The sequence below is a fragment of the Homo sapiens genome, chromosome 2, assembly GCF_000001405.40.
Source record: "Homo sapiens chromosome 2, GRCh38.p14 Primary Assembly".
Taxonomy (NCBI): Eukaryota; Metazoa; Chordata; class Mammalia; order Primates; family Hominidae; genus Homo; species Homo sapiens.
Window position 1 is genome coordinate 37,300,220 of NC_000002.12, and position 17,528 is coordinate 37,317,747.

The window sequence follows — 17,528 nt, forward strand, 5'->3', positions numbered from 1 at the left end:
AACATGGACAGAAGTAGAGAATAACATTTCAGTTGGTGAAATAAGCCAGGCACAGAAAGACAAGTATTGCATGTTCTCACTTGTATGTGAAAAATTTAAAAAAAAAATGACCTCATGGAGATAGAGAGTAGAATGATGACTACCAGAGGCTCTGAAGGGTAGTGGGTGGGGGGAATAAAAGGGTTGGTTAATGATTACAAAACTACAGTTAGATAGAAAAAATAAGATCCAGTGTTTGGTAGCATGATAGGTAGACTACAGTTAACAACAATTTATTGTATATTTCAAAATAACTAGAAGAGTAGAATTGGACTGTTCCTAACACAAAGAAATGATAAATATTTAAGGTGATGGATATCCCAATTACCCTCATTTGATCATTATGCATTGTATGCTTGTATCAAAATATCACATGTACCTCATAAATATGTACAACTATTATTTATCCAGAAAAATAGAAATAAAAGAGATTAGAACTCGTCATAAGCTAAATACACCTTAGCTATTCCAATCTCTTGTGAGTATGAGCAATACCCAATGAGTAATCCTATGTACATATCTTTTCCCACTTTTTGAGTCTGAATATGAGATAACTTTCTAGGAGATTTGCTGGCTCAAAGAAAACGCATATTTGAAATTTGTAGATACTGCCAAATTGCTCTTTATGGCGGTCAAACCAATTTATACTTCTGCAAGTAATATATTGAGTATGTACTTGTTTTGCCACGTTTTTATAGTGTATTATCAAACTTGTTGACTTTAGATGAAAAATGGTATTTTTGTAGTTTTAATTTGCATTTCTTTTTTTATTACAAGAAGTTGAACATTTTTCACATGCTTAAGTGAATCTGTATTTTCTTTTCTGTAAATTAGGAATTCATATTTTTGCTTATTTTTAATGGATTGATCATCTTTAAAACTCCAAATCCAATTACTCCTCAGAATGATCTTCATTATGTGGAGACCTTTAATAAGTCCTGAACAACATATCAAAAAACCATAAACAAAAATACTTTATATTCCAAAGTATATATGTAGAATTTCTCAAAATGATTTGACAGCAGTGAAACCTAAGAGAGCTTTTAAGATAATAGCTTCTTGTTCTAAATCAGACTCCAGGAGAACAAAGAACAAAGGAGAAGAGCCTTTTTTTTTTCTTTCAGTTGTATAATTTGAAAAGGAGAAAATATTTTGGCAAACTAATTAAAACCAATTCTGGATTACATTTTTTTTTTTTGAGTGGGGGTCTCCCTCTGTTGCCCACAATGTAGTGGCTTGATCACTGCTCACTGCAACCTCAAACTCCTGGGCTCAAGCAATCCTTTAGCCTCAGCCTCCCAAAGTGCTGAGATTATAGGCACGAGTCACCTTTCCTGGCCCTTAATTACATTTGTGACTCTGCTATGCTCACAGAGTCAAAAGGGGCGGGGGCAGAAACCTGTACTAATGCTGTTGTCTCTATATTCTTCAAAATACAATTCTTGCCCAGTAAAATGGTGTATATATATCCCTTCTAAACATTCTATTCTCCTGAGAGGGAAGAAGTTCAGAAAAGCAGCAGAGGTGATGACATGTTTAAGTAATTGTCAGGAATTGTCACTGGCTATTATTTAGTTTATTCCTCTAGGGCAATGATCCTCAGCTGAGATGATTTTGCCCACAGAAGCTATATGACAATGTCCTGAGACATCTTTGGTTTTCACAACTTGAGCTAGTGGCATTCAGTGGGTAGAGCACTGTAGAACACAGAGGGCAGCCCCCACAAGAATTATCCCACCCAAAATGTCAATAGTGCTGAAGCTGAGAAATCCTGCTTTAGGGAATAAAAGAGTCAAGAGAATAAAGAGGCTAGGAAATGTGGAAGAAGTTGGCAACCTTTTGAAAACCAGACAAGTCCATAATTCCTTACCTGGCCTACCTCATCCTTGATTAAAAGAAAGAGGAAATTAAAGAAATAACTAATGATACAGCATGGTAGAAGCAAAATGGCCCTTTAATTTGGCCTCTTTCCAACTGTTCCCCCATCCCCCGAGCTTTTCTGGATTTGCTTACTACAAACTGTGCCGATGACCCCTCTTGACTGTGCAAAATGAAGTATTTTCCCAGTCCATATGGGAATGCAACAGAATATCAGTTATTAAATTTCCACCCTCATGCACTCTGCTCACTTCATTCTTTGCTTTTGTATTAAAGATGACTTCGATAATTTTAAAAAATAATCTTTCTATAACCATTTTAGACGTTATTTTTTACAGCATTACTTAACATTTTTAAGTAAAAGGTTCCAATAGTTGCAAACAAAATTATTTTAAGCAACACTTATTTTGAAAGTAATTTAAGGTGAACCGTTTCAAGTTCATGTCGTTAAAATGCTGTCAGTAAAATGTCAGGCAAGGTAGGAAGCTTCCAAGTTATTTCACTTGGTCAAACATAATTTTTGCACTTTAACAATGGTTTCTGAATTTAACATTATCTGAATGAATAATTTATCACTATGAACTTTTAATTTTTTTTTTTAGACACAGTCTCACCATATTGCCCAGGCTGGTCTCCATCTCCTGAACTCAAGCAATCATTCTGCCTCAAGCCTCCCCAAGTGCTGATGATAGAGACAGAAGGCAGAGAAATACTAGGCAGACAGGGGTGGGTCCTGGCGAAACCCCACCTTCAAGATGAAAAGCCTGAAACCCATTGCCCAAAGTGAGAACTTCTATCTCTGTTTGCCTGCTCTCTCCTGATTGGTTCTTTCTAAATGTCTTTTTACCAATCGAATGTTGCCTTTTCCAAAACTACCTACGGCCGGCCCCACGGCCCAACCCCTGTCCTGTGCCTATAAAGACCCCAGACTCAGCCAGTAGAGAGAGAGAAGCAGCTTGACTGGAGAGAGGTGACTTGACATTGGAGGGACAGCTGGACTTCAGAGGATGGCCTGACTATCGGGAAGAGCCGCTGGACCTCAGGAGAAGATTACCTGCCCGTCCCGTCCCCTCTCCCACATCCCACTCTGCTGAGAGCCATTTCCCATCACTTACCACCTTCACCATCCTTCAAGTGTCTGGGGGATCTCATTGTTCTTAGATGCCAGACAAGCACTGGAGACCCAACAAGTGCCAGTACCCCAAAAAAGGCTGTTGCATAGGCCCTTTCCCCTTGCTGGTGGAGGGCAGCCACCCCACACGATGAGGCAAGGCGCCCACTGAGCTGATAACACGCTGCTGTCCATGGATGGCAGACCTAAGAGAGTATTATATCTTCTGGGGCCTCTGGGGGGTTTCAGGCACCACAACCTAAGTGCCGCTGTGGGGCCCTTAGGTTGAAGGGCCCCACAGGTATGAAGTCTGCTCCTGCCATCACTCAAGGCAGCTAGCCAGATCCTGCACTCGTTTGCTCACATGTTCCCTCCCAAAAGAGGTTGAGTGTGGCGGACTGAGTAAACAGGGTACCCCGTCCCAAGTCCGATGAAGAGGTCAAGAAAAATCCTACATCACTGAGATTACAGGTATGAGCTGCCGTGCCCAGCCAGTATGTACTTTTTTAAAAAGAAGAATGAAGGTTTTATTCTAAATGCAATGGGAAACGATCGAAGTTTAACATACATTTACTTTTAAAATGTACTTGATATATAATAAATGCACTAATCTTAATTAGAAGCTTGATAGCTTCATAAACATACACACAACCCACATAACCACCACTCAGGTCAAGATACAGAATATTATCAGCATCACAAGTTTCTTCAAATGCATTTGAGACATTGAATACCAACGTCATTTTAAAAATCAGCATCACAAGTTTCTTCAAATGCATTTGTGACACTGAATACCAACGTCATTTTAAAATTTGATGCCAAATAAATCTTCACAAGTCTTTTTAAACATAAACTCGATCATAGTAAACAAGCTCCATGAGGAAAAGAATATTCTCTTTTCATGTTCCTCCTGAATCCCCAAGCACTTTGTACTTAACAGGTACTTACTAAAAAAAAAAAAAAAAAAAAGAAGTGTTGACTATTGAGCAACTAACTTAGCACTAATAAATTACACAGAAACAAATCTAATATTAACACCAATTTTAGGAAAATATTTAATTGGAGAGAAGCAGCTCAATGATTCTGTTTCTAAATACAGACATAAGGACGATAGCTGAGTCAATTAGAAAATGACTCAACATGGACTTGAATTTATTAACTTTCATCATTAACCTGAACCCAGAATTTTTTGGATATGAAATATCATAAGAGGCCAGGTGTGGTGGCTCACGCCTGTAATCCCAGCACTTTGGGAGGCTGAGGCAGATGGATCGCCTGAGGACAGGAGTTTGAGACCAGCCTGGCCAACATGCTGAAACGCCATCTCTAGTAAAGATACAAAAAATTAGCTAGGCATGGTGGCGGGCACCTGTAATCCCAGCTACTTGGGAGGCTGGGGCAGGAGAATCACTTGAACCTGGGAGGTGGAGGTTACAGCAAGCCGAAATTGCACCACTGCACTCCAGCCTGGGTGAAAGCAAAACTCCATCTCAAAAAAAAAAAGAAAAAGAAAAGAAAAAAAAAAAAGAAATACCAGAGGAGCTGCTTTATTTAACACCTGCCTTTCTGATACCAACCAAAGCAATCTTTTTTCATTCTCATTTTTTCTTGTTTTGTTATTAGTTCTGATTATCTTTAATTCAAACTTTCCGAATTAAAGATCTAGGATCTTCTATTCTAGCCAAGGTCTTATGATGAATAGTAGAATTAAAAAAAAATTTCTTCTTCCAGTTTGAGCTTTCAGATTAGTAATGGCTGCCTGACATTGATTTTGCCTAGACAAAAAAAGTAGGGGTAGAATAAAGAGCAGGATGTCACTAAGCTGCTGCAACACAGCTGTAGTAGAAAGAATGGATAGAAAAAAAAACAACATAGAATGACAACTGGGTTTTTTTTGACAACAAAAGATACAGCTGGGGTGTTCAGTGTACTTTGGCATAACCTGAAAATTATACCCAATCCGTATCTACAGAGACGATGCAGTTAAAGAACAGACCAAAATAACTCCTCAATTAGGCTACATAAGCAAACAACCTTCAGGTCTAGTGTCACGTAAATCGTCAAAACTAAAACCAAATGTTTTAAATCAGCTAAAAGCAGACAATCTGCTTTTGTAAGAATTATTCCAATTTCTGTAAACAGCATTATAACTTAAAATGAATTGCTGTCTACCAATTCCTTTCTCACTCCAATTATATCTACTATGTTCATTCAACAAATTATACAGTAGCAGGAGCATTATAGTGGTATCTTCTAAGCCTCTTAGCAATATGAAAGCAAAAAGGTGGAGAAGTGCTATTGAGTGCAGTCAATATGCATCAGAAATTGTGCAAAGCACTTGCTACAGACTCTTAATTTCCTCAAAACTCTTAAAACAAGTAATCCAGGCCCTTTAATAAGATAAACACTTTATCTCTGTTTTTTATAGTTTTTTTATACGTTAAATGCTAAAATCAAAAGGCAAGAGCAAACCAATGTAAGCATGTTGGCAGGCTACCTAATGAAGGCTTTGGGACTTTAAGATCACTACAAGACCAGTGATCTTTCCATATCTAAACAGATTTTGAAATCATGAGTATTAACTACTTTTGAGCACTAAGTATGTGCCAGACACTACCTGGGGCTTTACATTTAACCACCATTCTTCTATGGAGGTGGACTTTATGACACTAGTTTCACACCTGAGAAAACTGAGGGTCAGAAGTAACTTGAAAAGGGCCTATCATCAGTGGCAGAATAGCAACTACAACCCAGGTGTCTCTCCTTGATTCCAAAACTCTGCTATGGCATAATATACTCTGTTATCTCTTCCTTGGATTCTTTTTTTTTTTTTTTTTAAACATACTACACCAGTAACAGAGTTAATGTAATTTCAAGGTTGAAAATCCAAGCATGAACAATCACTGTAAGATGGGCGAGGCTTCTGGCCTACTCCCTCAATATCAGTTTTCTCCCTTGTAATCAGGCGTTAAGTGGCCTCCCAGCTGTGATCTGATCAGGAAATTTCTGTTTGGCTCAATTCCAGTTCTACCTGCTGCTCAGATTTGTCTGCCTTCTGCATTCTCCTGATTCCCAGTACCATTAGTTCTTCGGGTTTAATCAGTAAAAACACATTCCCTTCAGCTTATAAACCTCTAGAAGGCAGAGATCTTGTTTGTTGTTAATTTTGCTTTATAAAACAATATGAAGATATAGGAACTTTTTATATATATAGGTTAAAAATTCACATTAACTATATCCATACTCACAATAAAAACTGTGCACTGTTAAACAAAAATGGGTCAGGTGTGGTGGCTCACACATGTAATCCCAGCACTCTGGGAAGCCAAGGTGGAGGGAACGCTTGAGCCCGAGAGTTCAAGACCAGCCTGGGCAACATGGTGAAACCCCATCTGTACAAAAAATAAAAAAATTAGCCGAGCGTGGTGGCCGGAGTCTGTGGTCCAGCTACTTAGGGAGGGTGAGGTGGGAGGATCAATTGAGCCCAGGAGGTCAAGGCTGCAGTGAGCCGTGATCATGCCATTGCACCCCAGCCTGGGTGACAGAGCAAGATCCTGTCTCAAAAAACAAAAACAAAAATGCCCAGGCAAAACTAGAAATCCTGTTTAAGACCTCAAGCTGCAATTCATATTTGTAAGATTTTAATCTAGGAGACAGTCATATTCCCTATTTTACTAAGCCCCTACAATGGTACTAAAAGAGAGACATTGTAGATTTCTTCAAACTTCAGAAATGCTATTACTCCATCAGTTTAACCCAGGGGTTTTCAACCTCAGCATTATTAACATTTTGGGCCAGATAATGCTTTGTTGTATGGGGCATCATAGCAACTTCCTTGCCCTCTATCCACTAGATGCTGGAAGCCCCCCTGCTCCAGTTGTGCATCCAAAAACGTCTCCAGACATTGCCAAATGTTCCCAGGGGGTCAAAATCTCATCAGATGAAAACAATTTAACTTGATCTTATATATTAAAATCAGATACTGAGACTATAACATTTGCCAGTAAAATAGTCCAAAGTCCTAATCCACATTCTTATGTGGAATAAGGAAAAAGTTCAGGAAATAAATAACTTTAAAAATTTCAGAGCATTCTAGAAGAACCCCTGGCCTTTTGCACAATCCCAGGAAAAACAAGCTCTACAAACTAATTATCTGACAATCTAAGCTAGTGGGATCAGCTTGGGCACAACTAAGGCACCGGATATATGAAACAAGATGGGAAAGAATACTGATGCTTATCTGCTCATTTCTATCTCTTTTCAGCTCTAATAACTATAAATCATCTCATCAATAAAACTGTATTTCCAGTATCATGTTTTTAGAAGAGCAGGTATGTGTTCTTTACCAAATGTCTACTAAATGTAAGACATCTCTGAGGATAAAAGATGAATAAGACAGCATCAATCAATGTATCATAAATGTTGGAAGGGTTTCAAAGCTTTGAAAAAAGGAAGCTAAGTTTTGGCTTATGCTAACAACAACAACAACAGTAAAAGAAACTCCACCCTACTCCACCCTTGGGGTGTGTAATGAAACTGGATGAAATTCAAAGAGTGAACGCTTTTGGTCATATCCAAGTTTTAAGCAAAGCTCAACGATAAATGATCTGTTAGAGATATTTTCTTGGGACAAAAACCTCAGTGTATATGTTTTGTGATATTCTTGTTAGAATTTAATCTAGTTTTTAAATTATAAGACTTGAATCATTGATTGTTCTCTATTTCTATGAAATTTTACCATGCTCTCCCCCATACTGCGAACGCCAATTTCATTTTCCCCCAACTTAACACGATACCTAAACTATATTTTAAAACTGTTTTGAACATCTTCCTGCACGCTTGTTTACTAATTTAATCTTTTTGTAAAACATAACTCTCATATCATTTGACCAAGTGTTGAGATCAGTTTTTCTTACCAATACATGAGCTCTATGTAGAAAGAAGACATTAACCTATATAATACTTGCCGTAACATTTTCCCAATCTTGTTGCTTTTACTTTTATATATGTATACGTTATAATTTTTAATAAAATCTCTAAACTGATCTTTTCATGTTTTCTTTTATTGATCTGAAAGTGAGCTGCCTGCTGTCCAGAGGTTTGATAGTCAATTCCATTATATGTAAATTTTCTTTTGAGTTTCCACATTTCACCTTTAATCACTGAAATTTACCTTGGTGTCATATTTTTCTTTTGAGACAGAGTTTTGCTCTTTCCCTCAGGCTGCAGTGAAGTGGCGCAATCTCAGCTCACTGCAACCTCTGCCACCACCCACCCCCACCCACCTCCCTCCCCACCCAGAGTTCAAGCGATTCTCCTGCCTCAGCCTCCCGAGTAGTTGGGATTATAGGCACCTGCCACCACACCTGGCTAGTTTTTGTATTTTTAGTAGAGACAGGCTTTTGCCATGTTGGCCAGGCTGGTCTCAAACTCCTGACCTCAGGTGATCCACCCACCTCAGCCTCCCAAAGTGCTAGGATCACAGACATGGGCCAACGCGCCCAGCTAGTGTCAGGTATTAAGTGAAGGTCTATGTTAATGTTCCTTCAACTGCTTAAAACTAGTTTTTTAAGCTCTGTTTTTTTTTTGAAAAATGATTCCTTTTAATTTCTCATGACTCCTTTGGCATACCTAAAAGTACCTTGTGCTTATCTATTTATGTTCAGATAGTATATAACTTCAGTTATTGTAGGTTTTTCTTCTCTTTCTCTCTTATTTTTCAGATTTTTAAATTAATGCTCTTGACTATTTTTCCTCCAGATAAACTTTAACATTGTCAGAGTAAAAAGAATACCAATAAAAATCTTTAATGGAAAGAAATTTAACTGGAGAAGTAAAAATTACACACTATCAGTCTTCCTTTTTCAGGAACATAAGAAGACGCATTCATTTTACAAGGTCTTTAAAAAATTTTTTAAAGATTTTAATTTTATTTATATTTGGACTTACCCGTTTCTTAAGATAATTGTTGCTAAATATTTTTAATCTTTTTTTCTAATGGAGATATTTATGCACTCTTGGTTAGTTTTCCTGTACCTCTTGTGACATCAAAAGATCTTATACAATGTCACTTAACTGTTCCTATCCCTTTAGAGTTGATTCTATAGGCTCTTTCCAACAGTCTAATTCTTGGGCATGTGTATACAATGCAAGAATATCTCAAATAACAGCCTAAGGGTACAGAAATACAGAGAAGCATGCTTACTTACTCACTGCTCAACAATGGTAATTAACTGACTAGTTAAATCAGTTGACCTCAAAATTATAAGATTCTTAAGTCACATATGCAATCACCATTAATCTAAAGAAGCATATTTGGCCAAGCACGGTGGCCAATCACACCTGTAATCCCAGCACTTTGGGAGGCCAAGGCTGGCAGATCATGAGGTCAGGAGATCAAGACCATCCTGGCCAACATGGTGAAACCCTGTCTCTACTAAAACTACAAATATTAGCTGGGTGTGGTGGTGCGTGCCTATAATCCCAGCTACTCGGGAGGCTGACGCAGGAGAATCCCTTGAACCAGTGAGTCGGAAGTTGCAGTGAGCCGAGATCGCGCCACTGCATTCCAGCCTGGCGACAGAGCGAGACTCCGTCTCAAAAAAAAAAAAAAAAAAAAAGGCAGCACATTATGCCCTTAGGAATATATTATACCAAAATATTCTAATATAGAAGTCACAGGTTTTCACATGCAGCCCAAGAACAGAAGATAAAATAAATCACAGAATTGATATACCATTAACCTCTAATTTTCTGTACCAATAAAAGGAGAATTAGTAAAGCTAATAGAAAACTGTGAGTACCTATTCAGATCAAGGAAGGAATCAGCTGTCTTCTACAGAGAAAACAGATTTTGACATATGTATATATTCTATAAAGCACAAATCAAAAAATTAACATAAACTTAATTGATAGTAGTTTTCAGTCATTTCTAGATTACCACTGGCTAATTCTAATAAATCTTCAACAGAGAGGGACCTCGAAGTGTAATAGCTCAAGTTTTCTTTTGAGTTTGGAAACCACTAAGATCAGATTAATACATAATAATATTGATTAGCTAGCATATACTGTGTGATTACTATTTGCTAAGTATTGGGCTAAGCATTTTAGAAACATATCATTTAATATACACACACAATGATGAGAGATGAGTGCTACTTTTAACCTCATTTTTCAGACAAGGAATCAAGATTACACAACTAATAAGTGGTAGAAATGAACTCCAGTTTAACCCCAAAACTAATGGTTTTAACTATAACACTATACTGCTTCATATTAATTCCTTCCTTTATTTATTCAACCAAAGAATATTCACTGAGCACCTACTGTGGCCATGATATCTGGCATCATAAAGCTTAGTTTTATAGTGGATACAGTCAAGAAAAGAGACAATTACAATGAGCATTATGAATGTTAAAATACAATGTGTTGGATAGGATGCCAACATCCATACAGAAAAAAACTTGCTGGAGGTCTAAGCAGAGGATGTGGCAATGAAAGGGTGTTCAAGGCTAGTTAAAAGATAGAACATGGCATGTCTGAAGCTTAGGAAAGGAATCTGGACCAGAGATCAGAGATTGATCAGCATTATTTTGTAAGTAATCTTGCAATAATACCTTATACATAAGCAATCACATATTTCTGTCACCTGCTCATTGCTGGCAACTACACGTCTGTCCAGTTAACTGCTGCAGAGTGAAGAGGGCAGAGATTATCACGAATTTCTTGAATAACTAATTCTAACACAAATAAAATTTAGAGCACCACTAGGAAGCAGAATCACAAAACTTTTTATCTGACCAAGCAAAAGAAAGCAGACTCTATATGTGCATAAAGAGACCAGTATCTGCTGTCTCACAGACTAGTGAGGATGTTAAAGGTATCTTGCTTTATCCATGCTACAAGCTATCAAAGTAGTAGCATGGCATTGTACCAGCAAAAGCTTATTTCTCCAGGTGAAGTACTACAGTTGGTGATGGCAAGCAAAAAGTAGGATTGAAAATATGATTTCATATTTCCAACAAGGTGACAGCTCTCCTTCCTGAGTCATTTTATCATATTGTACCTTTATTTCAGGACTTACATCTACCTTATATTAGGGCAATTTGACATTTGCTCATCTTCTTTTCTAGAGCATAAATCACAGGGGCAGGGAATTTGTGTTTCATCTTGGGAGCTTCCACAGTTATCTAGCACAGTGACTGAAGAGTAGTGCACCATAAATATTTGTTCAACTGAAGCAAAGCCATAACAGATAATGGCACCCAGGTGTAGGATAATTGTATAACACTATTTAGCTCTCTGCAAACTGCCACCAGGGAGACTGAAAATCTACCTAGAATTTGCAATTATCACATTAACCTATAATCAGCTGCAGACCTCTCTGAAATTTTTAATTTTAAGAATTTTTTTAAAGTATATTTTCAGTATGTGGAAAATAAGATGGCACTCACGGGACAAAATATACAATTTCAATATTTGAAAAAATGTATCTTCAGATTGTTACTTATCTGGTCCTTAGGCTTATCAAATTTCCATTAGACTAGAGGTTCTAGACTGTGGCTCTCATTAGAATCATAGATAGAACTCTTAAACAGACTCCCACTCCCAAAGGACCTGATTTAATTGGTCTAGGAAGGACCTGTTTAACCTCCTAGTTACTCTCCAGTGCAGTCTGGGTTGAAAACCACTGTTACAAATCAAGTCCACATTTAAAATGCATATAACCTTGCAACTACATGCATCGAGTTTGTAAACATCCTGATCCTTGTAACATGTGGCCTATTGTAAAAGATTTTTTAAAACTAGGTTTTTTTCTTTTTCCATAAATATGACAAAACAAGCTTTGAACTTTTGCCTATAATTTTTAAAAAAGCTAACCAGGAAATGCTCAATGATAAGAGTAATCAGAAAATCTTGTGGGCTGTTCAAAAGCAGACTGGTTAAGATTTTGTTGGGAAAAAATAGACACAAACATAGCAATAAAGCCTGCATTTGTCAAAATATATGTTATGAGTTTATTCATTTGATTATAACTATTTCATCAAAAATTACTGAATCGTGGAAATATCTGACAAGGAGCTTGGTTCACACCCCTTCAACTTATTTCCAATAGTAGGCTGGGAGTGAAAAAAATTTAAAACAATGTATTATTTCAAATGTGGTCATGGCACAGCTCAGAGGCAAACACAGCTTTTCTATCGTACTACATATTTCAAGTCAAAGTCTTGTTATAGCTCTGCCTTCTTGTTCCAGCTCTTATAGTGTAAATAAGAGTCCTTTTCACAGTCTATTTAGTGCCATATTTTCTGCATTTTTTTCATCTTTTGTTAGTGACTCTTCTGTTTAAAATGGCTCCCAAGCACAGTGCTGAAGCAGTCTAGTGTTCTCAAGTGCAAAAAGTTTATGATGTCCCTTATAGAGTAACTACACGTGTTCAATAACATTCAGGTATAAGTAACAGCGCTGTTAGCTGTGAGTACAATGTTAATGAATCAACTATATATATTAAATAAAGTGTCTTCAAACAGAAACACATAAAACAAGGTTATGTATTTATTGGTTGACGAAAATGTGACCAGAGGCTTGCAGGAACCTATCCTCCCACTAGGAACAAAGGTTCCACTAGGTCCTACTAGGAGCAATCGTTCACTATTAGCTAATTCAGTGTTCTCAGTGACTTTACAGAATATAACTACTATGAATAACAATAATTGACTGCATGTAGAAATAAAATATAAAAATGACAATAGGAAGAAAATAGAAATATACTGTTCTAAGGTATATATTACATTATAAAGTGCTATGATATTGTTTGAAGATACTCTGATCAGATGCATATTATATAAACTAGAACAGGGATTTCCAAACATTTTCTGCAACAGGCCAAACAGTAGTATTTTAGGCTTGGTGGGCCATATGGTCTCTGTCACAGCTACTCAACTCTGCTGCTGCAGAACAAAAGAAGCCACAGACAAGATATAAAGGATTGAGCACCCTGTGTTCCAATAAAACTCTATTGACAACAGGTGGTGGGCCAGATTCGGCTTATGGATACAGATTGCTGACCCCTGCATTAGCGGAATTGATGAAAAAAAAAAAAACTGTAAAGAGTATAATTAACCAGCAGTGGAGGTACTATGGAATTATATAATGTAATTCAAAAGAAGGCAGAAAAGGACCTGAGAACAGAAGGGACAAATAGAAAACAGCCAATCTATTTAAACACATGTTTTCTATATGGAAAACAGTATTAAATAGAAATGGCCTAAACACTTAAAAAGCAGAAGTTGACAGAGTGAATCTAAAAAGCATACCCAACTATTAATACATGCAAGCTAAAAAAATCCTACTTTACATAGGAAAACAGAGAGGTCATAAGTAAAGCATGTGAAAAGATATCACAATGCAAACACTAATTTTTTATAAAAAGAATGATTAACACCAAGTATTAGTCCCTCACTTAAGACAGTCCCTCACTTAAGATGATTTGACATACAAGTTTTCGACTTTACAATAGTGCAAAAGGGATACACGTTCAGGGAGCTCCTCAACTTACAATAGGATAAACTCACAGCAGATTGAAAATATCATATATCAGAACACACCTTCAACTTAATATTTTCAACTTGCCATGGGTTTATCAGGACATAACTGTAAGCCAAGGAACATCTGTAAGCTTCAGAACAAGATCTTGAAAAATTATATTGAAAAAGGGATCAATATATCAAAGGCTGTAAAAGTCCCAAATGTGTTTGCAAATAATAAGAGAGCGCCAAAAAATCAAAGAAAAGAACTGATAAAACTGAAAGGAGAAAGACAAATCTACAATTGTAGTTGAGAGATTTCAATAGTCCTTTCTCGAGAAAAGATAAGAGAAAGTAGAAAGAAGTCAATAAAGATATAGAAGATTTGAACACTATCAACCAATTGACCCAACTGACATTTATAGAAAACTGCACTCAACAAGAGTAGAAGACACGGGAGAATGGGGAGAGTTCCTCTTGAGGAAAAATGATTCCCCTGCAAGAGTCATTGTAAAATTCAGTTTACTATATCGATTTTATGCTGCTATGTCCACAATCAATAACTATTTTATATTTGTATAATTATCCTTTTTAAGCTATATCCTATTTCCCTGACATCACTCTAGTTGCTCACAGATCAAGATTTTTAATCTGGTTCTCCAAGAATTTCACCCACTGACCCACTCCTCACATTTATATTAATGAAGTAACACTGATTCTAGAATAATCCTGCAGAAAACTGGTAAACCTCTGTAGAAGTAAATCAATTAGCTCAATTTAGCCATTACACCACATATACATATTTCAAAAGAACATACTGTACTTAATAAATATATACAATTTTTTCTCAATTAAAAAACTGTGCAAAAAATAAGTAAATGAAATTTCCAAAGATTGAAAACTAAATCATAGAGAGTCATCAAAACACTGGTTATGAGTTTCTATGGTTTCAAATAAAAAGGGAACATTATATTTAAGTTACAAATATGTATTTAAGTTTAAAAATTAAATAAAAAAATTACAATCTAGTTGCAAAAGTGTTTGAAAACAGTCTGTAAAGGATAATGGAAGGGAAACTAAAAGCAAAGCTACGGAAGGATACAATGCTCTACAGGTCTACAGAAGTAAAGTTATTCTTACTTAGGAATAACTTAGGCCACATGTACAAGTCATTGTTAAAACAAAGGCAGCATAGGTCATTTTCACAAACTGCACAACATCTTTTGGATGGGTAATTATTTACATCAGAAGATAATGAATGATAAACTATATAAAGCGTAAAGAATTGAAACAAAGACAGTAAGATGAAGAGCATGAATTCCCAGAGAGAGATGATTTTTGCAAATAGAAAGTTTACAATTTGTTTGAAACAAATCTGAAACATGCTTGAAAATTCATTAAAATCTACTAAAAATAAAATATAACCAATTCATACAACCCATATAAACTCTTTTGATAACACAGAAAACATACTAGCCTCATCCATCAAATCGGGATTATTAAAGATATTTAGCTAAAGTTCCTTAAGAAAACGGCACGGTACAGGGAAGGAGGGTGAATGAGAAACAACATAAAACCACCCTGAATTTTCAAATATTTTGTCGTATATTCAAAATTAATTTACCTATTTTTTAAAAGACAGAAAGCATGGTCCTATATTAAATGGCAGTTTATTTTTCAGGACGTTCAGAATCTTCCTAAACAAGATCTAAAGAGAAGGAAATGGATAAAAAAAAGAGGGGCCAGAACACAGGGTACCTAGAGATAACAAGGTATGGAGATGGGACTCAGCTGCTAGCTACTGTGTCCCAGGGGGCCTTGTGCCCTCTACCTCCTGTTTTCTCTGAAAACAAATGAGATTTCTTATGCTGCCTTGACTCTATACAGATTTTCCTGCTCTTGAGAGACAAACAGAAGAGTGATACTTTAAAGCTAAAATAAATGCATTTTATTTATGTTTTCAGACTGAGTCTCACTCTGTTGCCGTGCCAGGCTGGAGTGCAGTGGCGCTATCTCAGCTCACTGCAACCTCCGCCGCCTGCCCTGCTCCCCACGATTCTCCTGTCTCAGCCTCATGAGTAGCTTGGACTACAGGTGCCTGCCACCATGTTTGGCTAATTTTTGTATTTTTAGTAGAGATGGCGTTTCAACATGTTGGCCAGGCTGGTCTCGAACTCCTGACCTCAGGTGATCTGCCTGCCTCAGCCTCCCAAAGTGCTGGGATTACAGGCGTGAGCCACTACGCCCAGCCAAATAAATGTATTTTAAATCTGGGATATATGTTCCAATTAGCTAGACTCTGAAATTTCAGTCTTTAGCCTCAGAGGTCATTAGAACTCTTCCAAAAATGCACAGAATAAACTACTGATGGATCAGTATGTCTTAACTCACTGGTACACGTATAATTTATAGAAAAACATCAGTAACAATATTATTTACTACTGATAATAGCACACACAGTACCTTTTGATAAACTATGGAGCACACAAGATCCTTGACAGCAGATAAAGACAGTTCCTGGGCTTCAATGGTAACACTCTCCCGTGTGAGGCCAATTTGCAGTAGAAATGAAACTGTATGCACTGAGCCTCTGGAGTTGGTGAGTGATGGTGCACTGAAGCTTCCATTAGAGAGTCGGGCAGAGAGTCCCGTCTTAGGACTTGAACACGGAGAAGCAGCTGGAAGCACAGCAGGAATAGCTGTGGGTAATACAGACTTCTGGGCTGATGGAGGGGAATTATTTGCAGACATCTGCCTTTCTTTAATCTTTTAAAATAGTTGTCGATTCTTTTTCAATGGTTATGAAGAGGTTTTTAAAATAACAGCAGTAAAGAAAATGACCGCACTTTTGGATTTAGTTGAAAACTTCTTTATTTCCTCTGTTAAGCCACTCATGCCGATACTTTTAAGTTTTATCAAGGAGTTGAATGCCCCAAAGGTCCTATTTCTCTTAATATCAGTCCCATCAAAAAGCAGTCTTGTCTGTAGGAAGACAACCAGGGATTTGTAAAGGATTTAACATCACTGAGCTATCCTCAGCAGGATAGAGTTGACGTAGCTTATTTACGAATCTATTTTCCTTTCAGTCTGTACTTGTCTCTTTAATTTCAGGAAATACATATTGAATAAAAGTTGTTTTTCTGTCAAGGTGAAATCCTCTTCGTTTAAAAAACAGTAAGTGTTTTGGATTAATCTATTCAGTACTTTTCCTTTGGTTTACTAATTTGATAGGACACCTTCTCAAATGTCCACACCTTAAATCACCTTCTCAAATGTCCTCATTTTCATTCTGGGGGGATGAACTTTTCTATGACGAAATACAAAGCTTTTTAAAATAGTACAGGCATATTTCATTAGATGAATGGGTCCATCGAGAAAAGCTGATGCTTTCTGACATATAGTTAGCCTGGAAGGAAATTTTTTAAAGGTTTTTAATACTTTATATTCATTCGACATTAATTTAAAAATAAGAACATAACTTTTTTAAATGACAATTTTTGGTCATATGCTTATAATTCACTAATAAATCCTAATGGGTAGCAATTTTTGGCTAGTTAGCAAAGACTTTTTTTACTATAAGTATAATTTCAGGGAGAGGCTCGAAAAATATCCTTGGCACTCTACACTGATACCTAAAACTTAAACATTAAACATTTTTTAAAATTTACCTCATTTTTAATCAATGAAGACCAAACACTTCTATGTTACAATTACATGACTGAGTTATATCAAAAACAGAAGGGACAAAAAACAGTAAAACTGACATTTTCATAGACATACAATACATGCCACCCCACCACACAAAAGATGTACAATACTTTCCTAATACAAGAGTATTCTTTTTTTAATATTACAATACTAATTCTGCCGAAACATGACTCTTGACTTGCTTTGTTGAAACATTCCTTTCAGAAGGCTAAGGAAGCAGGAGGGGATATACTGAACAGTTAAATGATCAATAAGTGTGAAAGCTG

At 36.7% G+C, this 17,528-nt stretch overlaps 1 protein-coding gene across 6 annotated transcripts in view; it reads right to left on the bottom strand.

Annotated features, from left to right (window-relative positions):
* PRKD3 (protein kinase D3) overlaps positions 1-17,528 on the bottom strand; it is a 74,332-nt gene that overhangs the window by 49,718 nt on the left and 7,086 nt on the right. For 4 of the 6 annotated variants that reach the window (NM_005813.6, XM_047443853.1, XM_005264237.5 and 1 more), the window contains one exon: positions 16,018-16,960. The exons of 1 other annotated variant lie outside the window; for it this stretch is intronic. In NM_005813.6, the coding sequence (NP_005804.1) occupies positions 16,018-16,305 (288 nt within the window). In that variant the 5' untranslated portion in view covers positions 16,306-16,960. Of the gene's footprint in view, positions 1-16,017; positions 16,961-17,528 lie in introns of those variants that run through there. One more of the 6 variants, XM_047443856.1, reaches the window with a different exon arrangement.